Source organism: Homo sapiens, chromosome 8 (genome assembly GCF_000001405.40).
Source record: "Homo sapiens chromosome 8, GRCh38.p14 Primary Assembly".
Taxonomy (NCBI): Eukaryota; Metazoa; Chordata; class Mammalia; order Primates; family Hominidae; genus Homo; species Homo sapiens.
Window position 1 is genome coordinate 94,412,586 of NC_000008.11, and position 26,057 is coordinate 94,438,642.

The following is a 26,057-nucleotide window of genomic DNA, read 5'->3' on the forward strand; positions in this document are numbered from 1 at the left end:
TTCCCGCCATTACTGAAGAGCTCTTCACTATGTCTTTTACGTCATACACACTTGAACCATGGAAACTATCAAAACAATAAAATTTTAAAAACAAAATGAAGTAATTTTTTTTCCTTTTTACTATTTTCCTACTTACTTAAATAGGAATAAGGCAACAAAAGCATATAAAGTATAAAGATCAGAAAGGAAGAAATAAAACCGGAGCATTTACAGATAATGTAACTATTTACATAGAAATCCCCAGAGAATCTAAAAATAAAGAAGAATAAATTTAGCAGAGTCACAAGATGCAAGGTTCATATGCAAAAATCAACTGTATTCTTATAGACTAGCAAGGAATAATCAAAAATAAAATTTTTTAAATTCCATTCACAGTAGCTCCAAAAAACAGACATGTGAAATACTTGGGAAAATATCTAACAAAAGATAACCCAGATCTCTACACTAAAATTAAAAAGCTTTGTTGAAAAAAAATTAACAAAGCTCTTATAAATAAGCACAGCTCCTATTTCATGAATTGGAACATTCAATTTTGTTAAGATAGTAATTTTCCCCAAAACGATCAATATATTTAACACAATACCAATCAAAATCCCAGGACATTTTTAGTAAAATTGGCAAGTTGATTTAAAAATTCATATGGAAATAAAAGTAACGTAGACTAACCAAAGCAATTTTTGAAAAGAACAAAGTTGGATGTTTACAATAATGCTGCGATAATCAAGATAGTTTGGTACTGCCCTTCCTCTCCAAAAAAGACATATAGACATTCCAATGCATTGGAAGAGAAGCAAGAAATAGAACTATTCACACATATACGGCGAAATTATTTTCAACAAAGGTAGGGAAGCAAATTCAATGAGGAAAGGAAAGTCTTTTCAACAAACATTGCTAAACCAACTGGATACACATTTGGAAAAGATAAACATCAACCATTAAGTCACCCCATATACAAAATTCAACTCAAAATGAATGATAGACCTAAATGTAAAACCTAAAACAAAAAATCTCTAATAGAAAACACAGGATAAAATATTTGTAACCTCAGGATATACAAAGCTTTCTTAGAATACAAAAGCACGAAACATAAAAATCAAAAATTATTAATCAACTTTTATCAGAATTTAAAACTTTTGCTTTTTGAAAGATGCCATTAAAAAAACAAAAGGGAAGCCACTGGCTGGGGTAAAATATTCACAGCATATGAATAAGACAAAGGTCTTGTATCCAGAATAATTATTCTTTTTTTTTTTTCTTTTTTTTTTTTTGAGACAGAGTTTTGCTCTGTAGCCCAGGCTGGAATGCAGTGGTGTGATCTCGGCTGACTGCAACCTCTGCCTCCTGGGTTCAAGCGATTCTCCTGCCTCAGCCTCCCACGTAGCTGAGATTACAGGCGCCCACCACCATGCTCAGCTGATTTTTGTACTTTTAGCAGAGACGGGGTTTCACCAGGTTGGCCAGGCTGGTCTTGAATTTGTGACCTCAAGTGATCCACCCACCTAGGCCTCCCAAAGTGCTAGGATTACAGGCGTGAGCCACTGCACCCAGCCTAAGAATTCTTATAGTTTAAAAATAAGACAACATTGATTTTATATCCTGAGACTTTCCTGAAGTTGCTTATCAGCTTAAGGAGATTTTGGGCTGAGACAGTGAGGTTTTCTAGATATACAATCATGCCGTCTGCAAACAGGGAAAATTTGACTTACTCTTTTCCTAATTGAATACCCTTTATTTCCTTCTCCTGCCTAATTGCCCTGGCCAGAACTTCCAACACTATGTTGAATAGGAGTGGTGAGAGAGGGCATCCCTGTCTTGTGCTGGTTTTCAAAGGGAATGCTTCCAGTTTTTGCCCATTCAGTGTGATATTGGCTGTGGGTTTGTCATAGATAGCTCTTATTATTTTGAGATATGTCCTATCAATACCTAATTTATTGAGAGTTTTTAGCATGAAGCGTTGTTGAATTTTGTCAAAGGCCTTTTCTGCATCTATTGAGATAATCATGTGGTTTTTGTCTTTGGTTCTGTTTATATGCTGGATTATATTTATTGATTTGCGTATATTGAACCAGCCTTGCAGCAAAGTCTCAGGATACAAAATCAATGTATAAAAATCACAAGCATTCTTATACACCAATAACAGACAAACAGAGAGCCAAATCATGAGTGAACTCCCATTCACAATTGCTTCAAAGAGAATAAAATACTTAGGAATCCAACTTACAAGGGACGTGAAGGACCTCTTCAAGGAGAACTACAAACCACTGCTCAATGAAATAAAAGAGGATACAAACAAATGGAAGAACATTCCATGCTCATGGGTAGGAAGAATCAATATTGTGAAAACGGCCATACTGCCCAAAGTAATTCATAGATTCAATGCCATCCCCATCAAGCTACCAATGTCTTTCTTCACAGAATTGGAAAAAACTACTTTAAAGTTCATATGGAACCAAAAAAGAGCCCGCATTGCCAAGTCAATCCTGAGCCAAAAGAACAAAGCTGGAGGCATCACACTACCTGACTTCAAACTATACTACAAGGCTACAGTAACCGAAACAGCATGGTACTGGTACCAAAACAGAGATATAGATCAATGGAATAGAACAGAGCCCTCAGAAATAACACCGCATATCTACAACTATCTGATCTTTGACAAACCTGAGAAAAACAAGCAATGGGGAAAGGATTCCCTATTTAATAAATGCTGCTGGGAAAACTGGCTAGCCATATGTAGAAAGCTGAAACTGGATCCCTTCCTTACACCTTATACAAAAATCAATTCAAGATGGATTAAAGACTTAAACGTTAGATCTAAAACCATAAAAACCCTAGAAGAAAACCTAGGCATTACCATTCAGGACACAGGCATGGGCAAGGACTTCATGTCTAAAACACCAAAAGCAATGGCAACAAAAGCCAAAATTGACAAATGGGATCTAATTAAACTAAAGAGCTTCTGCACAGCAAAAGAAACTACCATCAGAGTGAACAGGCAACCTACAAAATGGGAGAAAATTTTCGCAACCTACTCATCTGACAAAGGGCTAATATCCAGAATCTACAATGAACTCAAACAAATTTACAAGAAAAAAACAAACAACCCCATCAAAAAGTGGGCAAAGGATATGAACAGACACTTCTCAAAAGAAGACATTTATGCAGCCAAAAAACACATGAAAAAATGCTCACCATCACTAGCCATCAGAGAAATGCAAATCAAAACCACAAGGAGATACCATCTCACACCAGTTAGAATGGCAATCATTAAAAAGTCAGGAAACAACAGGTGCTGGAGAGGATGTGGAGAAATAGGAACACTTACACTGTTAGTGGGACTGTAAACTAGTTCAACCATTGTGGAAGTCAGTGTGGCGATTCCTCAGGGATCTAGAACTAGAAATACCATTTGACCCAGCCATCCCATTACTGGGTATATACCCAAAGGACTATAAATCATGCTGCTATAAAGACACATGCACACGTATGTTTATTGCGGCACTATTCACAATAGCAAAGACTTGGAACCAACCCAAATGTCCAACAATGATAGACTGGATTAAGAAAATGTGGCACATATATACCATGGAATACTATGCAGCCATAAAAAATGATGAGTTCATGTCCTTTGTAGGGACATGGATGAAATTGGAAATCATCATTCTCAGTAAACTATCACAAGGACAAAAAACCAAACACCGCATGTTCTCACTCATAGATGGGAATTGAACAATGAGAACACATGGACACAGGAAGGGGAACATCACACTCTGGGGAATGTTGTGTGGTGGGGCGAGGGGGGAGGGATAGCATTAGGAGATATACCTAATGCTAAATGATGAGTTAATGGGTGCAGCACACCAGCATGGCACATGTATACATATGTAACTAACCTGCACATTGTGCACATGTACCCTAAAACTTAAAGTATAATAATAATAAAAAAAAAGAAAAAAAAATAAGACAACAAACAAATCAATAGAAAACAGGCAAAAATCTTAGACAATTCAGAAAATGATATATACAAACAACCAATAAGCACATAAAAAGATATTTAACATCATTAGTCATCCAGAAAATACATATTAAAAACCTGAAATACCACTTCACAACCATTAGGATGGCTGGAATCGCAAAGTCAGATAATAAACAAGTGTGATGCGTATGTGGAGAAATCAAAACCCTCATACCCTGCTGGTAGGAGTATAAAATGGTGCAGCACTTTGGAAAAACCAGCATGACAGTTGCTCAAACAATTAAACAAGAGTTACCAAATGACACAGCAATTACACTCCTAAGTATATGCCCAAAAGAATAATAACATATGTCCACAAAAAAACTTGCATATGAATGTTTATAGCTAGGATTATTAATAATAGCCGACAGGTAGAAACAACCCAAATGTGCATTCAACTGACAAAGGATAAACAAAATGTGGCATATGCATACAATGGAATATAATTCCATCATAGAAAAAGAACAAAGTACTAATACATGCTAAAACACGGATGAACCCTGAAAACATTTATGCTAAGTGAAAGAAGCCAGTCACAAAGGCCATATATTTTAGGATTCCATTCATATAAAATGTCTAGAACAGCAAAATCTTACAGAGACAGAAAATAGATTAATGGTTGCTTAGGCTGGAGGGTAAGGATGGGGTTAGGAAGCAGGGTGGTGGTAGCTAAAGGTAAAAAGTTTCTTTCTGAGGTATTGAAAATATTCTGCAACTGGCTGTTCTGATGGTTGCACATTAACTGTGACTATATTAAAAAACAATGAATTGTACACTTTACATGACTGAATCATAGGGTATGTTAATTGTATCTCAATAAAGCTGTTTAAAACACACACACACAATGAAATAACACCACATCTTGATTATACTGACTAAAATTAAAAAAAAAAAAAAACTGACCACAGTAAGTGCTAATAAAGATATAGAGCAACTGAAAATATCATATCCTGCTGGAAGGAATGTCAAACAGTACAACTAGTTTGGAAAATGGTTTCGCAGACTCTTTAAAAGTTAAACATACACCTACCATAACCAGCCATTACACTGCTAGGTATTCACCAAAATAAAAGAAGAAGAAGAAGAAAGAAAAAGAAGACATATGTCTGGAAAAAAAAAAACTTGTACATCTCCAAGCCAGGTAAATCAACCTGCCAAATGCCTGAAAATTTATCACTACTAGAATTCAGATAAATTGTATCTTCATTACTGGCATTCATGGATTTAGAAAGTGAGTCTTGGCTATCTTCAACCAGTAAATTATACTCAGAACCACCAAAGTTGTTTTCTGAGAAAACAAATGATTCATACCCAGCTTGAGTCAGCTCTGTCTGGCATGACCCAATGAACTCTGATCAGTTCCTGAAAGGATTCAGTCTGCTAGAGCCCTCAGCAGGAACCAAGAAGACAAAGGACTTAAGTGCAGCTCCTCCAGTTTTCTGACCTTCCTTCCCTAATGAGAGTGTATGGATAACACGTCATTTTTCAGATACTTTTTTGGGGGAAATGTGCTTCTAAATGTCCCAGTAGATGTAGTGGATAGTTTTTTACCCTTCTCTTTTCATATGTTATTGTGGATATATTTCTACATATTATTAGTCCCTTATTACTGGACTTTTTTTTTAAGCTCTATCATATTCAATCTGTGCATCTCTGGTTATTTGTGGAAGATAAAGTCCAAGAAATGAAATTACCAGTCCAATGAATTTAAAGATTTTCAGATTCTTGATTTAGACTGACAAATTTTTCTCCACGAAAGGTTGTATCAATGATATTCCCACCAAGCAAGGGTGTCCACTTCATTACACCCATTACACCTACATTAGCACAAAACATCACCTTTATCCATTTTTAACTATTGTTTTTAAATTTTCATACAGTAAAATAGACTTTTTCTTTTGATGTACAGCTCTACAAATTTGAACACATATATAGATTCACAGAACCACCATGACCACAATCAGGATATAGAATCGTTCCATCATCCCGAAAGACTCCCTCATGCTATTGCTTTATACTCACACCCTCCCCTTACCCAAAACCCCTGCAGTTACTGACCTGTTTTCCATGAATATTGTTTTCTTTTTGAGAACGTCGAATAAATGGAATCATACAGTATACAACCGTTTCAAAAATGATTTCTCCCATTCAGCATAATGTCTTTGGGATTCATCCCAAATTGTTGCCTGTATCAACAATTTGTTCCTTATTATTATATAGGATAGTGACAGACAGTTGAGTTTTCAGCTTAATTTTGATAGCTTTGACTATCATAAAGCTTCTATGAACTTTTTCTGTGAATTCATCTTTATCAATTTAATTGGCAGAAATGATATCTCCTTAATGCTGCAATTTGAATTTGATTAGTGATAGGATATTTTTAAATGTATCTTCATTTCCTCTTTGCTAGACTCTCCTAATTTCACACTACACTTAAAGAAGGTACCTGAGAAAAAAAGAAAAGATTCTCATATCTTTAAAGTTTTAATCTGACCAGAAAACCCTCAACATTCAGCCGACATATTGCCAATATGTAGAATCTAATCCCTGAATTTTACTTAAAATATTTAAGTAAAAAATAGGCATAAAAGAATTTCAATTAGTAAGAACTGTTAAAATTAAAGCAAAAAGGTTGGGAGTGGTGGCTCACGCCTGTAATCCCACCACTTTCGGAGGCCAAGGCGGGTGGATCACAAGGTCAGCAGTTCGAGACCAGCCTGACCAACATGGTGAAACCCTGTCTCTACTAAAAATGCAAACATTAGCCAGGCGTGGTGGCAGGCACCTGCAATCCCAGCTACTCGGGAGGTTGAGGCAGGAGAATTGCTTGAAACCAGAAGGCGGAGGTTGCAGTGAGCCGAGATCATGCCACTGCACTCTAGCCTGGGCAACAAGAGCGAAACTCCGTCTCAAAAAAATAAATAAATAAATGAAAATAAAATTAAAGCAAAAAATAAATCTACTGAATTTTAATATGTAAAATGCTACAAAATACATGGAACACAAGTGTTGACTGTGCTGGAAGAATTAAGAATCCATTTAATATTTTCTTTAATAGGAGGTACTAAGTTACGGGGCTGTTACAATATTTTAAATAAACCCAGGTCATTTAAAAACTCCTCCCTCTTCTCTCACAGCCTGGCCCCCACCAAAAAAAAAAAAAAAAAAAAAGCAACATGAACAATTTAACAGAGTAAAATAAAAGAGGTTGAAATAAGCCCACTCACACTTACTAGAAATTATTAAACACTTTAGTATACAGTCATGTACCACACAACAAGGTTTTGATCAACCACAGACCACATATATGATGGTGGTCCCGTAACATCTTAATACCATATTTTTACTGTATATTTTCTATTTTTAGATATGTTTAGATACACAAATACCACTGTGTTACAACTGTCTACAGTATTCAGCACAGCACATGCAGTACAGGTTTACAGTCTAGGAACCATAGGCTATACCACACAGCCTAGGTGTGTAGCAGGCTATACCATCTAGGTTTGAGGAAGTACATTCCACAATGTTCACACATCAACGAAATCACCTAGCAATGCATTTCTCAGAACATATTCCTGTCATTAAGCAACATGATTGTACTCTAAATCAATATATCGACATGCTGTAGTAAAAGCGCCAAAGAAAACTTGATTTTTTTTTTTTTTTTTTTTTTTTAAGACAGAGTCTCACTGTCACCCAGGCTGGAGTGCAGTGGTGTGATCTTGGTTCACAGAAACCTCCACTTCCTGGGCTCAAGCGATCCTCCCACCTCAGCATCCTGAGTAGCTGGGACTACAGGCATGCACCACCAAGCCCGGCTAATTTTTTTTTTCGTATTTTCAATAGACAGGGTTTCACCATTTTGCCCAGGCTGGTGTCGAACTCATGAGCTTAAGCGTCTGGTCTACGTCAGCCTCCCAAAGAGCTCTTAACAAGGTCACTCTTTGACTTCCTACTTAATAAACTCCTTTCTCCACAGTAAATCATGGGGAAAAAACATAGCATGGAAAAATAAAGTCAAGATTATTATGTAATATGTTATATTTCAGGGAGAAACATGTATTGCAGGAAGAAACACATACATAAAAAAAAAGAAGTTTTTGGCCGTGCGCGGTGGCTCAGGCCTGTAATCCCAGCACTTTGGGAGGCTAAGGTGGGCGGATCACCTGAGGTCAGGAGTTCGAGACAAGCTTGGCCAACATGGTGAAACCCCGTCTCTACTAAAAATACAGAAATTAGCCAGACGTGGTGGTGGGCGTCTGTAATCCCAGCTACTCAGGAGGCTGAGGCAGAAGAATCACCTGAACCCTGGAGGTGGAGGTTGCAGTGAGCCGAGATCACACCGCTGCACTCCAGCCTGGGCAATCAAGCGAGACTCAGTCTCAAAAAAAAAAAAAAAAGAGATGTTTTCCTACCATAAGAAGCTGTCTACCCCATTGTTTCCACTTCAAGTATCCAAACACTCCCACCCCCACACTGCCTCTGCTTCTTCAAATTCCCAATCACTCCTTAACTGCTCCAATATGGCTTCCAGTAGTCATTCCCCCTAAACTGCCCTGTTAAAGGTTACCAGGAACTCTTTGTCTATAAACCCACAGGTTGTGTTTTTAGTCCTAATCAAAGTTCTCAAAAGCATTAGACAATGTTGACTACTTCCTCCTAGAAATACTGAACTATACTTTTGTAGATTCTCTAACATCCTTCAAATTTTCCTCTTACCTCTTTGCTTGCTTCTTCTTAGACATCTTTGCCAGTTCATACTTCATCTACCTTTTATCTATTGGAGTTCTTCAGAACTGACTTCTAGGCCCTGTTCTCTCACTGTGCACCACTTCTCTTTAAGTAGCCTGTCCACTTGAGCGGATTCAGTGCTGCCCAGGTACTAAAAACCTTTTTTTCTCTAGCCCAGATTACAACTCTTGATCTGCATATCCAATTGCCTCCCAGACATGTCCACATATCTCATAAACATCTCAAACTCATCATGTCCATGTATCTTTTCTCCAAAAATTGTTCCTCCTTTGGTTTCCCCATGTCTCGTCCTTATACAAGCCAGAAAACTGGAAATCATCCTTGACACTCTACTTTTTCAGTCCCACAGACAATCAACCACAAAATCCAGACAATTCTGCCCCCTACCAGGTTTTCAAAGCTATGTATTGTATCCTTCTCCATTGCCTCCACTTTTTTCAACTCATCTCTGATCTGAATTTTGGTATTACTGCAGGGGCTTCCCAACAAGTCTACTGACAGCGTCTTTTGCCACCTCTATTCTCTAAAACCGTTTTCCACATTTATTATAGTTATCTATTTTTAAATGTGAATCTGATAAAGTATCCCTCTTGCTTAAAATCCATGAGTCCTAGTAATCTTGAAGGAAGTATGCTATTTCCAGCTATAGACTTTTACCTGTCTTCTTCTAATGCCCTTATCTAAATTAACTTCTACTCTCTGTACAACTTAAATTTCCGATTGCCAAATTAGATCTAGTTACCCTATTACCTCAACATTATCTCAATAATTAGTTATGTAACAAATTATTTAATGTCAGCCTTCCCCAGTAACTTATAAAGTCCTGAGAGTATGTTTTGATTTGTTCATCACCATACTCACAGAACAAGATACTTTTCAAAAACTGCTATTTTGACTCTAGGTACATTTTGACTAAATGTTTATAAAAACATTTAATTAAAATACAATTATCAGCCGGGTGCAGTGGTTCACACCTGTAATCCCAGCACTTTGGGAGGCTGAGGCAGGCGGATTACCTGAGGTCAGGAGTTTGAGACCAGCCTGGCCAACGTGGCGAAACTCCATCTCTACTAAAAATACAAAAATTAGCCAGGCATGGTAGTACACGCCTGTAGTGCCGGCTACTTGGGTAGCTGAGACAGGAGAATCGCTTGAATCCGGGAGGCGGAGGTTGCAGTGAGCCGAGAACATTCCACTGGCACTCCAGCCTGGACGATAGAGCGAGACTTCGTCTCAAAAAAAAAAAAAAAAAAAAAAAAAAAAAAATATATATATATATATATATATATATATATATATATAAAATTATCAGTGTTACAGCTCTTTCAGAATTTTCCAGTTTTTGCCAATTCTAAATCCAGTTTCAGAATTTTCTAGAAAGCCTCCTCACCACAAAAAATTATATATATATATATATATATATAATTGTTAGGGGTGGTTATTCTGGAACATAGCAAATTAGTCAATATTTTCATAATACAAGTAGTCTAGATATAGGAGGCTATGTTCCACTATCCTATGTTGCCAATGATCTTGTTTTTACCTTTTGGAGTTATTCACCCTCTTCATTCCCTGCTGTATGGCCTACATAATTTTAAAAATGGGACTAATTGGGAAAGAGAATATGTATAAATATACATATATATTTATCTTAAAATTCATTTTCATTAAGAGTTGCTTTAGAATATAACTCTGTCCTCATTTCCATTATTACCCAATTTTTATTTTCATTGACAAAGACTTGTTACCGGCCGGGCACGGTGGCTCACGCCTGTAATCCCAACACTTTGGGAGGCCGAGGCAGGCTAATCACAAGGTCAGGAGATCAAGACCATCCTGGCTAACATGGTGAAACCCCATCTCTACTAAAAATACAAAAAATTAGCTGGGCATGGTGACAGGCGCCTGTAGTCCCAGCTACTCAGGAAGCTGAGGCAGGAGAATTGCTTGAACCCAGAAGGCGGAGTTGCAGTGAGCCAAGATCGCGCCACTGCACTCCAGACCAGGCAACAGAGCCAGACTCCATCTCAAAAACAAACAAACAAAAAAAACTTGTTATCATCAGGATCATTTTCCAAGTAAATTTTGTAGCAAAGATTCAGTCACTTCTTTATGTACCATATTATTTCATTGATCGGTGAAAGCTTTTATGAACATGTTCTTTCATAACCATAATTTCTACCAAATGAAGTTTTACTGAGTCAAATTTTGCACAGCTAAATATTATCAGGATCGTATTAATCCAACAAATTTTAGTCAAGAAAACTTAACCAGTTTTTAGATAAATTTGTAGCTGTCATGGGTTATTTTCGTTGTTTTACCAAGCCCGATCTTCCCAGATAAAGTTTTGAGGTTTTTAGCATTAACAAAAGACAGAATACTTCAATTAGCTTTTGAACTCTTTTCACACAAATTTTGCTGTGTGCAATTTTAGTCAATTTTAATTAGTTTTCTTTTTGTATTATTTCTACCAGTAGCAGTCACTGTGCATTGAATTAAAAACTGACAAAATCTTTCTGCATAGTTAAAATGTGTTTCTCTGTTTTTATTAGGTTATCCAAGAGAAAAACATACTTCCCCTTTTACCCTAAAGAGCGGGTAAAAAGAATGTCTTCATCAAAAGACTGGGAAAAACATCCTGGAGTAAAATACCGTATTGTATTACCAGGGTCTAAGAGAATGGATGTTATGTCCAAGACCCTCCCTGCCACCATCCCACCAGCTCCCAGAAAAAACAATGAACAAGATAACTAAATTCTGATAATTCAGAAATTACTTATAAGTAACTTTGAAATACCATAAGATTCTCGGATATACACTTTTCTTTTGCAGAACAGCAGAAGGGCATGAACTATGGAGACAGACTGGCTGGGTCAGAGTCTTAAGTCTGCCTCTTACTAGCTCTATGACCCTATATAAGTTACTTAACACCTTTGTGCCAGTTTATAAATCTATAAAATGAATATAATACTAATACTTACCTCGCAAACCTACTGTGAGCAAGGATTAGTGAATATATGTAAAACACAACAGTATTTGCCACATAGTAAGTGCTCCCTTAATGTTTACACCATCAACATTTGCCCTTGTCCCTTTCTCAATTACTCCCATTTTTAAAATTATGTAGGCCATACAGCATGGAATAGAGAGGGTGAATAATTCCAAAAGGTAAAAACAAGATCGTTGGGAACATGGAATAGTGGAACATAACCTCCTATATCTAGACTACTTGTATTACAGAAAATATTGACTAATTTGCTATGTCCCAGAATAACCACCCCTAACAATCCCAGTCTATAATTTCTTAACTGTAAACTGGGTTCTGATCTATTTTCCCCTTGACCCTGTAATGTGCTTGCCAAATCAATACCAAAAAGTGGTCGGCATAAACAAGAGACTTGAAGGTCTATCTGCAAGACTCATAAGGCAGCTGGCACAGTGGCTCACACCTGTAATCCCAGCACTTTGCGGGGCCAAGGTGAGAGAATCACTCAAGCCCAGGAGTTCAAGACCAGCCTGGACAATACGGCAAAACTCTGTCTCTATAAAAAATACAAATATTAGCTGGGCATGGTGGTGCACACCTGTGGTTCCAGCTACTCAGGAAGTTGAGGCAGGTAGGTTGCTTGAGCCCAGGAGGTTGAGGCTCCAGTGAGCTGTGACTGTGCCACTGTACTCCAGCCTGGGTGACAGAGCGAGACCCCATCTCAAAAAAAAAAAAAAAAAAAATTCATAAGGGCATGTTTTGATAAAGGGAAATAATGTCATTTAATATTAATAGTGGGCATTATCGTCTTAGTGAATGATTCCTAAGCATAGCCACTCTGGAGTTGAATGACTTAATTGTACAACCCATAAACCTAAGCCTTTAATATTCTTTTTTTTTTTTTTTTTTTTTTAAAGAGGTCTTCAGGTTGGTCTCCAACTCCTGGACTCAAGCAATCCTCCTGCCTCAGCCTCACAAAGTGCTAGGATTACAGGCATGAGCCACCGCACCCAGCCTAATATTCTTTTGTTTAACAATTCTAAATACACACATTGTTTTCAATGGCACAAATGAAAATTTAAAATGTCTCATATAATCAAATTCAATAAAGAATGTAAATACTCTTGCAGATCATGTTTTGAGTTTTAAAATTACCAAAACCTACCAATGTTTAATATGCATTAACATATAACTGCAATATAAATTTAAGATTGAAACAGTTTTTATTACACTAAAAAGCATACAAACATTAATATACAAATCCCTTCAAACTGATAATCACTCACAGTTTTCTTATATCTAAGAGATTGAATGTGAACTAAATATAAGTATCAATAAGTATAAAATAAACCTAGAAGATATTTCTTTGCATTAAAGATCATTTTCAGAATTATGTTTTATAAGCGTAGCAGAGACTACACATTTCATATTTCTTCAATACCTCATGTCAGAGCATATATGCAACTAGTACTAAAATGAAAAAAAAAAAAACCAGTAAACTACAATATTCCCAGATATCTAAATTACCTGTCCAACATTTTGAATGCACTTAAATATTACAAAAATTATTCATCAATTTCACTTCTGACATTCCAGTCACTGAACATGCAAAGGGCGTTTTGTTTCGTTTTTGGGACAGGGTCTTGCTCTGTTGCCCAAGCTGGAGTACAGTGGCGTCATCAGGGCTCACTGCAACCTCTGCCTCCCAGATTCAAGCAATTTTCCTGCCTCAGCCTCCTGAGTAGCTGGGATTACAGGTGCCTGCCACCACGCCCAGCTGATTTTTGTATTTTTAGTAGAGACGGGGTTTCACCATGGTGGCCAGGCTGGTTTCGAACTCCTGGCCTCAAGCGATCCACCCGCCTCAGCCTCCCAAAGTGCTGGGATGACAGGTGTGAGCCACTGTGCCCAGCCTTTTGCAAAAATTAAAAAAAAAAAAAAAACTCATACCCTGTTGATGGAAGTGTAAAATGATATAATCACTTTAGAAAATGTCTGGCAATTTCTTAAAGGTTAAGTCTGTATGGTTCCCTAACTAACATTATGTCCATGAAAAACTTGCACAAGAATATTCATAGAATCTTTATACATAATAGCCAAAGTATGGAAATTGCCAAGAAGTCCATCAAAAGATAATGGATAAAAAGTGTGGTATATTTATGCAATGGAATACTGCACAGCAACAGAAAGCAATGAGCTACTAATAGGATGGATAAACATGGATGAATATTAAAAACACTAAGGTGAAAAAAACAGAAACAAAGTATGCATATTGTATGATTCCAATTACATGAAGTTCTAGAATAGGCAAAACTTATCTATAATTTTTTTTAAATTAGGACAATGGTTGCCTGACGTGCAAGAAGACTGATTAGAAGCAGGCAAGAGAGGACTTTCTGAGGTGATATTGTTCTAATTCTTGACAGAGGTTTGAGCTACACAGTTGTAGATCAAAACTCACCAAATGGTATATTTTAAATTTGTGCATTTCACTGTATGCAAATCTTACCTAAAAAACACACATGCACAAATAAATAGTGAACTCTAGTAATACTCATGCTGAAGTACTTAAGGGTAAATTATTCTAACTCTACAACTTGTTTCGAAGTAACATTTTTCCTTTAAAAAAAAGAATTGATGGATAAATAGGTGATGAAGCCAAGTATAGCAAAACATTAATTGCAGAATCTATGTGGTAGATATATGGATACTTACTATAACTATCTTTTCACTTTTTCTGTATGTTTGAAAGGTTTCTTAATGTTAGGGGAAAAAAAACTTTGTAACAGAGGTGAATTCACACATAAATTTTAAAACAAAAAAGACCTGCTAGCAAAGTGGAATTATAATGATATATCCTTTTAGTTTAAGTTGTCAGGACTGATATGAGCGATATTTTTATTTTTATTTTTATTTACTCATTTATTTTGCTTTCCACTATTACAAAGCAATTGGAAACTAAAAATAAATAATATGTTCAAATTATAACTACTAGCTTTAATCAATATAAAAGATTTATAAAAATATATTGAACAATTTCTCAAAATCGTATACAAAGATTTTGCTTGACTGTTAATGTTTAATTAGATTGCATATTCTAAGAACTTACTCTTGTTTAAGTATGCAACCATATTTCATCTAATTACTTTTAAGTGTTTACAATCAAATTCACCATCAAATATTTGATTTTGAGAAGCTGTGGCTCTTAACATTTGAAAAAAGAAATGAAATGTGATATTTAGATATGGTACATTGGCCATCTATTATAACATAATCATCTAAATAAATGTATTTCAATTATACCTCATCAAAAAATTTTACCTCTACAGTACTGAATTATTTGTCTTAACGGCACACAAAAAAAGTACACAAATCAGTACAAAGTAGTATCTTGTATTTAAAAGAACATGTGTTAACAAAGCATTTAACCATCATTATCTACAGTATATATTAAACACAATTTATTACACTCTAAGTTATTTAAACATGTGTATTTAAAAGTTGACATTACTCCAAAAGAAGGCACATGAAAAAAACTCATAGTTTAAACATTTTCACATAAGTAAAGATAGAACAGGGTAGAATGACTCCTTAAAAAAAAAAATGAAATAACACCAAGTTAATATCTCATCATACACAAAAGAAAAATACTTGACTATTTTAAGAAATCTGGTATTCGTTAGAAATGAGTTTCACTGACTTTTCTCAGGATGTCATTATAAATCACAGCTAGTTTAGAAAATCATAAGTTGTAACAACATATCCATTACATTCATATGGATAAGAGAAAGATAGGAAAGTGGCTATCCACTATCTAAATTACTAATATATTGGATGAAATAATCTATATACTTAGTATATTTATCAAATGTAGTATATTTCTACAGAATCAAGTCTACATTTAAAAAACAAAATCACTCTTCTCTATGTTCTCCCAGCATTACATTTTGTAATTAAAGCTCATGGACCCCAAACAATTGTCTATGATATGCAAGATGTCTGGTGGCTTAAGTGTATAGTCATCCCTCAGTATCCAAGGGGGATTGGTTTCAGGACACCCCCTACCCCATCAAGATCCACAGATACTCAAGTCCCTTATATAAAATGTTTGTATTCACATACAATTTACACACATCCTTCCATATACTTTAAATCATCTCTAGATTACTTACAATGGCTAATATAATGTAAATACTATGTAAATAGTTGTTAGGATACAGGACAAGTGAGCCCCAAAACTGGGGATTAGCCCAACTCCTACCTCAGTTATACCGTCTTTTTAAATTTCGTATTACTTTTTATTGTTGTACTGTTATTTATTTTTCTGCCTGAATATTTTCAATCCACAGTAGTTCAATCTGCAGATGTGAAACCTGCAGATAGAAAGCCAAGTGTACATTCCATTGTACTAGCAAACTTTCCCCTATATATTCCCCTTAATGAAACTTGTCCTCAACAAAAACTGCTAATGTTAGTTGGTAAGTAGTCCCCTAACTCAAAAAAGTCTCAATACAAAAAAGAAGAAAAAAAAAGGTTTGGTTCCAAATTACCCTAAGATACTCTGTAAGATAATAAACAGCCTCGGAAAAGGATTCTATGGTCAAATAAATAATTTTCTTTATACAGGAATTCTCATAAACTATACTATGTTAATCATGGTTATACAAGGGGAGGTAGACAATGAGGAGAATTATATGCATTTAAACTTTTGCAAATTAAAAGTAAACAAGACTGACTTGGAGAAAAACAAGATTGACTTGGAAAAGTTGCTGCAGTAAACTCAAAGAGTGTGATTCTGGTGTTTAAAAATATGTAAAAATAGGTTTCTTATTGTATACAGCCCCTAAATGCTAATGAATTGTGTCACCTAACACACTAAAGAAAAAGCAATCTTAAACAATGCTGCAGAAAAATATGATTGTAGCAGACTATGTTTATGCTATTTTATGGGCAGCAAAGGAATTTTCAAGGGCTATTTTGTATATACATAATTTTTACCTTCCACAATTATTTTAGAACCTAACCACCAAAAATAAAAAAGATGTATACTGCACTTTTTTTTAACACAGATCTCTTTTCTAGAAACATCTCACAGAATTAATGTTCCACAGAACACACTTGGGAAAACTCTGATTTGCTGTAAAAGCCAACATTTAAATTGAACATTCATTATCAATTCTTAGTAGCATGCTGAAACTGTAAAGTGAATTACATCTCATATATGTGCTTTCAATAATTTCAAAAAATAAAGCTTACTACTGCCAAGATGTGTTTACTAGAATTATACTGGGAAACATTACCTCAAATTAAGAATTACAAGATTCATTAGACTCAAAGAAAAGTCATAGCACAGATTAAAGAGAAAAGGTAACATTGTCAAAAGGATATATCAAGTTATATATTCAGGACATCTTTATAATTAAAGAAGTTAACTCTACCAGCTATAAAACACCCTCTTTTTAATCCAACCAATGAAATTAAGTAGTCAACATGCTAAAATAGTACCTTGAGTTCATTTTTTTCTATTTCTATAGCCATAACTTAAATTTCTGATTTAAGTTCTTCCAATACAATGCCTGTCCCTAAATGCCACTCCTCCTAAATCACAACTATAATCAAATTAGCCCTCTAATTCAAAGCATTCAATGGCTTCTCATTGTACGTTAAGTCTGACTCATTAAAAATAGTATTTAGGCTGGGCACGGTGGCTCAAGCCTGTAATCCCAGCACTTTGGGAGGCCGAGGCGGGCAGATCACGAGGTCAGGAGATCAAGACCATCCTGGCTAACACAGTGAAACCCCGTCTCTACTAAAAACACAAAAAATTAGCCAGGCATGGTGGTGCGCCTGTAGTCCCAGCTACTTGGGAAGCTGAAGCAGGAGAATCGCTTGAACCCAGGAAACGGAGATTGCAGTGAGCCAACATCGCACCACTGCACTCCAACCTAGGTGACAAAGCAAGACTCCATCTCAAAAAAAAAAAAAAAAAGTATTTAATGTAATTCATAATCTGGTATCAACCATCATCCAAATTTATATCCCTCAGTTCACTTTCAACTACTCTTCGACAAAAATTTTGAGACTAGTATGATTTAGGCACCAAGCGAGGTTCCAAAATACTCTGTTTCACTGGTTCTCAAACTTTAGCATGCATCAGAATCGCTAAAGGGTTTATTAAAAGAGATTGCTGACACCCCCAGGGTTTCTAATTCACTTGGAAATGGATTTACATTTCTAACAAGTTCTCAAGTGATGCTGATGCTGCTGGTCAGGACCCATACTTGGAAAACCATTGGTCTACTCCAAAGGCCACAAAGTGGAAGCCCAATGGCTCAGTGAGGCCCACTCACATGTTGTCTGTATAATGTTTTAAAAGCATTTTGTGTTATTTGCAAACATTTTAAAATTGGAAGATTCCTCATTAAAAAATGCAGATTTCTGGTTTATCCCCGCATGTGAAAATTCTGCTGGAGCTAAACAGCAGCTACCCTACCTAGTCCAGGGAGATGTCCTTCCTAGTCCAGGATACTACAGCCCAAATTGACTCTCTCTACATTCACTTAAAATCAATGGCTTAGCACTGCATTTGTGCTTATATACTCAATCCACTTTTTCCCATTCTTTTGTCTTTTTTCCAGCGTCTCACTCTTGACTTCAAACACCCATGGTCCCCTTCACTGCTGAAATTACACCCACCCCATTCTACAACTTGGCTTAAAAATCCCTTCTCAACAAAACCCCAGCAAAAATAGAAATTCTTAAGTAACATACATATTAGAGATTTAATATAAATTTAATATGTATGCTTTAAGAATTGAGGTTTTATTTCCATGAATACTAAAATAACAATACTTATAAAATACATAAAATTTTAATTTTGTTCATTCTGATTTTTACTGTGAAAGAAATTTTTTCCAGAACAGGACATTCAAAATGAATTAAGACATGTCTTTAAATCACACAGCCAAAATATATAATAGCTTCAATGGAATACCTTATCTATTTTGCTGGAACAAAAATAGAGAGAGAATGGGGGTAATTGATGTAATTATCCTGATTTCACAACCTAACAATCTTTAAAGGCAATTTTAATGAAAGAAATGCTTCTAATATTTAAATCTAGAGAATGTTTTAGTGGATATTTACTTCTATCGAATAGCGGGATGGAAATTACACAAAGAAAAACTAAGTGCTGGTCTCTGCTCTGCCATAAATAGCTTTGTTACCCTAAGTAAGTCATTGAGTTCTCCCTGGACCTGTTTCATTACCCCTAAACTGCAGAGATGGAAAAAAAGTGTTCTCCAAATATCTTCCATCTCTAAAATCCTAGGATTTACTCCTTCAAAAGATAAAAGCATAAAAACCAATGTCATACAGACAAGCTTCTTGGTATTAGGTTAGTATAGCTCCTAAATTAGACTGACTTAAAAATCTCTAATTATAGCTTTCAAAGTTCTAACTAAAAATGTTGAAGACTCAGAACTTTGAAAGAATATGTGTTTGTATATGCATTTGTGTATATCTTAGTGATCAGAATAAAATATCTTTTGTAAGGTCAACAATTAAACTTAGGGAAAAAAAAAAGAAGACAATAAAAACTATAACCATGCCAACCAACCAGTAAATTTTAATATCTCAAAAGAAAATAATTAGAAAATTATATCTAAAAAGTTTTTCCATAATAGAGATTAACAACATTTTTCAAGAACGTGTATTCTGTTTCAGGATATTCCCAAATTAAAGTAATTTGGCCAAAATCAAAATTATCAAATTGCAAGATTGAAAAAAAAACTTAGAGACTGTTATATTCAGGTAGATCATGCCGTAAGCGAATTGCTTTCAGCTTCTCCACTTCAATTTTTGCTCTTAGTAGCTCTTCCTCTAGCTGCTGCCTTCTTTTCAATCCATCCCTCTTCTCCTGAACATACAATCCAAAATTTTTTTGATTTTCTAAAATTATCTGATGCTCCTCTTTCAACATTTGCAGGATCTGAGGATCATACCCTAATAGTGACCTAAAGTGTTCACCACTCTCATGCCGAAAAAAATCATCTCTCCTTGGAATAGAAGATGGAGACGATGTCATTCTCATATCAACAGAGGAAAGTGAAGGCGACAAGGATCTTTCCATAACATGTACTAATTCATGTTCTTCTCTTTGCTCTAAAGTATCACTCTGTTGAGAATTTAAAACCAGTGGAGGAGGTGGTTTAATGTCTTCTTCTTGCTTCACCTCCACTGTAATAGCAACAGGATGGTGATCCAACATTACCTGTAGTGAACTGGTACCAGCCTGTGCCTCCTCATCCAAGTTTGCACTATAGCACACAAAAAAGCATTATAATATGTAAATCAAATGAAGAAAAAGTGTATATTTATAGCATAATTTTAATTTAATGTACATTAAATGATAAAGCTTTAAAACTATAAAGTTACAAAATAAAAAAAAATCTTAAACACTTGAAATACATTAAAGTGACTAAGATTGGGATTTCAATAATACATACTCACAGATCTCCCCCATCCTTAACTTTAAAATTGTGCTTTAAAGGAGCAGGAAATTACAAATATTATAGAAGGCCAATGAAGAAAATAAAAAGAAAAGCCAGTTTTCATGTTGTCAAACAGACACCAATCTTTCCCACAACCCTAAGGTTTTCAAATGGTGTACAGAGCCATTTAATGCATTCTCAGTCTTGTTATCCCCATACCTTAGCCCTAGACCTCAGGCTTCTGCTCTCCTGGACTGATCTTAAAACCATGAAGGCCCATAACTTATAAAAGGACAGTGAAAGGCCATCTATGGGAGGTACTGATTTCTGCATTTGCCCAAAAAATAAAACATAAAGATTGTATATGGCTTTGGGATATGCTCAACTACTGGAGGTTATCCTAACTTTCTTATTTCAGATGCTTTTATCTGATAGGAAAAACTTCCGTTTTACCTATTCTGAACCATATGACTCAGATGCTGTTTAAGTCTTTCAATCACTGGTCAGGTAAAGTTCACAAGAGCAATGGTTTTAATCCACAACTGTATACTCAGTACCTAGCAGGTACTGTACTTAGAACCTAGTAGGTGCTCATTATGTGTTGAATGACTGAAAAAAAACAAACTAAATGATTTTTTAATGAAACATTTTTAATGGCCTATACAGATATATTAAAGGTTTATTAAATTTACACATAATTTCCACCAAATATGCATTCCCAATGGAGACAACTACAGCTTTAGCATAATTTAAGCTTCAGCATAACAAGTTATGATATTATAAATGCAATAAACCTTAAAATTCTGTTTTATAAACATAATTTTATGTATAACGTGAAGCTGTGAATTAAGAATATCTGCTCCTTGAGGTTGTTTTTTTTAATTTATGCTTCTGCCTAACTTAAAAATAAAAGTTATAAAGGGAAATTAGATCATTGAACATGAATGGAAATACTTTATTTAATATTATTTAGAGAAGATTTTACATATAATAAGAAACATAATTAAAAGAATACATTCTACATGGATGATTAAAATGCTGGAACAAGTTCAAGCAGAATGCATAGAAAAAGATTAAAACTACCCATACGTTACTTACTAATGCCATTAAATTGCCAGAAATATCAGATATTTATCTAAGAGACAAAATGAAACATATATAGTATATAATAAAAAATCTATTTGTAGGTTATATAAATTCATTTTTGTTCTTGTCTCTGTTTGTGTCATTTTATTATTTCCAAAAACAAAACAATTAATTATAAATGTAATTCAAAGTAGCAAGCTCTGCTTCTATTAATAGCTCTGCTAAAACCTGGAATGGGAAAAGGCTAAAATTGCATATGAAAATTAAGTTTTTAAAACCACATAATTACTATTTCAAATTAGTATGTAAAATAGAGAGTATAAACATAGACATAATACTACCAAGTAAATTAAAAATATGCCTCATATCTGGAACATTCCTTTCCATTTTAGCTAAAACATTACAACTAAGGCATAACAATATAAAAAGGGAGAAAAAAAGCTTTAGAGCAGGTCACAAAAATGACAGAGAAGGACTTGAGAATCAGAACTTTGAAGATCAGTTTACAAAAACACAAAATATAAACTGATATTAGGAAGAGGTAAAAATAAAGACATAAGTCAATGTGAGTTACAGAAAATAAATAGCCTTACAAAACAGGTATATATTTTTAAGTATGTTAACGCAAACACTAGTATTTTCCTTATTAAAAAGGAAGAGTTTGGTAAGATTAACAGGCATATTTATGTAGAAGTATAGTTAAGATTATAGAATAATTATAAACTTCTGAGATTATTAAGATTCAAGGATGATATCAATCAAATAAATATAAGCACATTAAATATATATATTAAAGAAATAAGCTAATACAGAGAAAATGTCAATGTAGACACAGTAACATAAGAATTTAAAAGGCATGTTTCTTATATTCTTCCCTTTAAAACCTAACAAATTGGTATTATTTAAGCCATAGGTATAGAAATGTACAAATCAACTCATTTTTATCAGAGAAATGTTCATATCCCAAAAGATTTTTTGTGTGTGAATATTGTAAATATTCACACACACAAATAGTCAAAATGTAACCAGATACTTGTATATTTATATATTATTTTTCTTCTACTCACTGTTATTTTTAAAATATGCAACTAACTAAAATTACAGTTTCTACATGTCGTTTTCAAATTATAAAAACCTATACCTACTAACCAAAGGGTACAGTTTTATACCTGCGATGCAAAAAACACTTTTCTCCATGGTTCAAGGGAGAGAAAATTCTGCATAAGTAGCACAGTATAAAACAATTTTACTGCGTAGTTTTCTGGATATCTAGCTATTGGGATTTCATCATTTGTCATCACAGTGAACATTTTAACCAGTGGCCCCAAGAATTAATCCACTGTGTATTCATGTCCTGGATTCCCACTGGTGATATTTTTTTTACTGTGCTATCAAGTAGAAATAAGCAGTATCTGGTAAGAAGCTAGGCTCAAAAATACTTTCCTAGTAAATTACCAAAATAACATATGCACTTGGCTACAAAGTGGTTTTTTTCTGCTTCTCTCCTAATTTCAAAGGGATTTCATAGTAATCAATAATTTGCTTATATAATGCCTCTTCCACCAATAGAAAAGCACATTGTGTAAAGCTTTGTTTGAAAGGCTCCTCAAACTAACAAGGAGTTTACAATTTGTTTAAATTACCCTAAATGGTTCAGAATAAGAATGTAGCTGCCATTTTTATATTTTGCCAGAGGTTACAATCTGAATTAGTGGCAAGATAATACTTTTGAAAATTCCAAGGCAAATAGTTACATAGAAGACAAGTTTAACCAAAAAATTGCTTCTAACTCTAAAAAAACCCAGTTGCTCTTAGGGGTATTTTAAAATTCATAATTTGATATCCTTGCAAAGCAGTAAGAGAAAGCTTACTCTTTCCTATACGACCCAAGATCAAAGTGAAACTAGACTATTAAGGAATAAAAACAACAACAACAAAAAACTTTTAATTTTATTAAGTAAACTGAATCCCTAATTAGGCATTAACTCCCTTTAGTTGTGTTCATCTTTATTTTAAACGTGTTAGAAAAATAATTTAAACTGTCTTCATATACACAATCATGCCATTAACAAGTTTACTTATTGATTTTGTTTATATTTGTTAGTTAACATATATTCAATAAGTGTAGACAATGACAATTCATAAAAAAGCAAGGTTCCATTTCTCTAGAAACTGCTAACTTTATATAAATTTTATATAAAATTGAAAATTCCAGTGAAATGTAATCTTAAATGAGAAAAAAAGTATCTCTCAGAAGCAAACTAAATAATTTAATTTTAAAGCTTAAGAAGTTTATGAAGTGATGTCACAAATTTCAACCCACTTATTCCTCCCTAACCTTTACTTTTAGAAACTACAGGAGGGAAGGGGGAGGGGAAGACAGTAAAAAGTAGCTTAAATGCAACAGAAAAATTCCTCATAGCCTCACTTTTCTCTTTTTAAAAAATGCAAAACAAAGACACTATTCATTGCTCCCGTTGTGGGGATGCTTACTATGCATATCTCTATCACGACTAAGCCAAAGCCCAATAGATAGGAGGCGCCATAATTTTCCATAACAAAACAAAATAAAGCTTACCTTTGTATGTGGTTCCTGTCTCTTACCAGGCAAAAACTGGAAATCTGGGGAATCATCTCCATAACTTTCTTGGTTGGCTCAGAAATATTGCTTTTAAAATCTGATTGGGTCTCTTTTTGCTGCAATAGCTCCTGTTTGGCATATTCTTTGAGCCTTTTATAAAGGGTGCGTAGGCCCTGTGCTGTTCGAGGAGGGCGGTCTACTCCAATTGCATTATAGTTAACTGCTATGATATCCCAACATCTATTCTTTTCTACTATTACTGAATGTTTATTAGTGTGTTCTTCGAGAATTTTCACATATGGCTTCACAAGCTTTAGCAAATCAAGCTTTTCGGATAAGGTAAAATTGGAAGATCTAGCCTTTCCTACCATTGTTCTTTTCAAATTAAGTAGGCAGTTTCTGAAACCACCATGCAGCCTTCAGCTCTGCTCAGCTCTTTTCACAAACAGAAAAAGATCAGGCTTAACTAGGCTAGCCTCATTTAGGCCCACGCCTACAGGGGAGGGTTTATTAAAATTCCTCCAGCTTAAGCTGACGCAGGTTCAGGAAATCTGCTTAAGCCAAGCCTGACCTACATAAAGCTTCTCACTGAAGAAGACAGGAAGGCACAAGCAAAACACACTTGTGTATAAAGGGAACAGCTCGAGACAGGATTTAATACACAAAGGTCTAGAGATAAGCATGGAACACAGCTAAAAATTAGCTAATTTAGTGAGAATATCAAATTTCACACATGTATGCCTAGCTGACAGACTGAACTGCATTGCAGTATCACTTTAATAAAAACAAAAGAGGAACTGTTTTGTGCTATTTATTTACAAATCCAGTAGACAGAAAACTAAAAGATATGAGTAGTGAATGTAGTAATTCCTAACAGAGCCTCTCATCACTGTTTCTGAGCTGAGTGTTCTCCCTTACAAAATCTGCATAATGCTGGATCTGCTGTCAATCAGGAATTGCATATCCTCTAGCTAGTTAGGTTACACCCAGACCCAGACTCCACAGTAAAGCTAAGCTTCTCCTTCATTTTACAGTCTACATTAGCCTCTGCATATTTTTTTCACTTAAGAAAAAATTTTTATAGAACACTCAATCTAAAAAGCAGGTAAAAATCATGTTTTTAAAGCAATGGATTATTCTAGCCGTAATGTATGTGAATTTGCTAGCCTGCCTTATCATGTGTAAAAAATCACTGTTCATGGTGAGAAACAGTATAATCACGCCTTAAGACTCCACATACAAAATCACATTTGCTATTATAATAGAGCCAGATTTTTTATTTAGCTATATTCACACAGTTTGGACTATGAAAGGAAACAGCTAGTCTAGCCATTTTCAAGGCCACCAGTTTCGGTGCTTAGAATATATTTGTTAACCCCAGTATGAAAATATATGATACATAATAATGTAAGCAAGACAAACCTATTTTCTCACAATATACATATTTTTCCAGATAGGGGAATAAATTAGAACATACTTGAACATAGTTCTATCCAATAAAACTATTACTGAACAACTGTGATAGTTATTAAGAGGTAGGAAAAATAAATTGTTTTTAATTACTGACCACGTATATAAATGCTCCCAGGCACTGTGCAAGACCCAATGAAATCAAAAATGAATCTAGATACAGCACCTATCCAGGGAACTGTAGTTCCACAGAAATGCTATAAATTCTCAATTATCTTGTTTTTCATTCTTTTAACAATGGAGAAGCAAATTACATTTACTGAGCTCTCACTGTGAGCCAATGTGTTAAAAGCTTTAAGTGTATTATCTTTCAGAAAACAGTGAAAGATTGCTGGATGTTCTACGGAATGCTAGATGTTGTCTGGTATACGCTACTGAGTAATTTGATTCCATAATAGTTCTACCCTTTCATTGTCTTTGAGCAGTTTCACAGCTCTGTAAATTGTAGAAATCAGTAATGCAAATGATTCTTGTCCATAGAGATGCAAAAAGAAAATCGACCTGCCCCAACAACAACTGGACCACAGGTACTCAAAATCATTCTAGCATTTTCTGAGCTTTTGGAACATTAAAAGAGAACCAAAGAAAGAACATAGGGTATATACTTTATTTAGATAATTATTTTGTTATTTTCAGAAGAAATACAGGTATTACAGAACACAGGGTATATACTTT

General features: G+C 34.8%; 2 protein-coding genes across 4 annotated transcripts in view, besides 1 other annotated feature; both read right to left on the reverse strand.

Annotated features, from left to right (window-relative positions):
* RAD54B (RAD54 homolog B) overlaps positions 1-26,057 on the reverse strand; it is a 103,156-nt gene that overhangs the window by 40,626 nt on the left and 36,473 nt on the right. Inside the window, exon 1 of one of the 3 annotated variants that reach the window (NM_001205263.2) lies at positions 23,910-24,359. The exons of 1 other annotated variant lie outside the window; for it this stretch is intronic. Coding sequence is in view for 1 of the 2 variants with exons in the window: in NM_001205262.3 (NP_001192191.1) it covers positions 20,022-20,071 (50 nt within the window). In the remaining variant the exon portion in view is untranslated. Of the gene's footprint in view, positions 1-15,130; positions 20,072-23,909; positions 24,360-26,057 lie in introns of those variants that run through there. One more of the 3 variants, NM_001205262.3, reaches the window with a different exon arrangement.
* Positions 15,131-24,359, reverse strand: FSBP (fibrinogen silencer binding protein). Its single transcript, NM_001256141.2, has 2 exons — positions 23,910-24,359; positions 15,131-20,071 (listed from the first exon to the last, which is right to left on the reverse strand). Exons 1-2 carry the CDS (start codon positions 24,281-24,283, stop codon positions 19,546-19,548), a joined length of 900 nt encoding a protein of 299 aa, NP_001243070.1. The 5' UTR covers positions 24,284-24,359; the 3' UTR covers positions 15,131-19,545.
* Positions 22,215-22,715: an enhancer, noted in NCBI's record as "NANOG-H3K27ac hESC enhancer chr8:95447028-95447528 (GRCh37/hg19 assembly coordinates)". NCBI's record gives its function as "activates a minimal SCP1, AML or CMV promoter by ChIP-STARR-seq in naive H9 embryonic stem cells {active_cell/tissue: H9 hESC(naive)}" and the evidence as "EXISTENCE:reporter gene assay evidence [ECO:0000049][PMID:30033119]".

What these genes read in the sequence shown, in the direction of transcription:
- FSBP (NM_001256141.2), bottom strand. Translation starts at nt 24,283, where the DNA reads ATGGTAGGAAAGGCTAGATCTTCCAATTTTACCTTATCCGAAAAGCTT. An exon ending in GACAGGAACCACATACAAAG is followed by an intron (nt 20,072 to 23,909) that starts GTAAGCTTTATT and finishes TGTGTGCTATAG; the next exon opens with TGCAAACTTGGATGAGGAGG.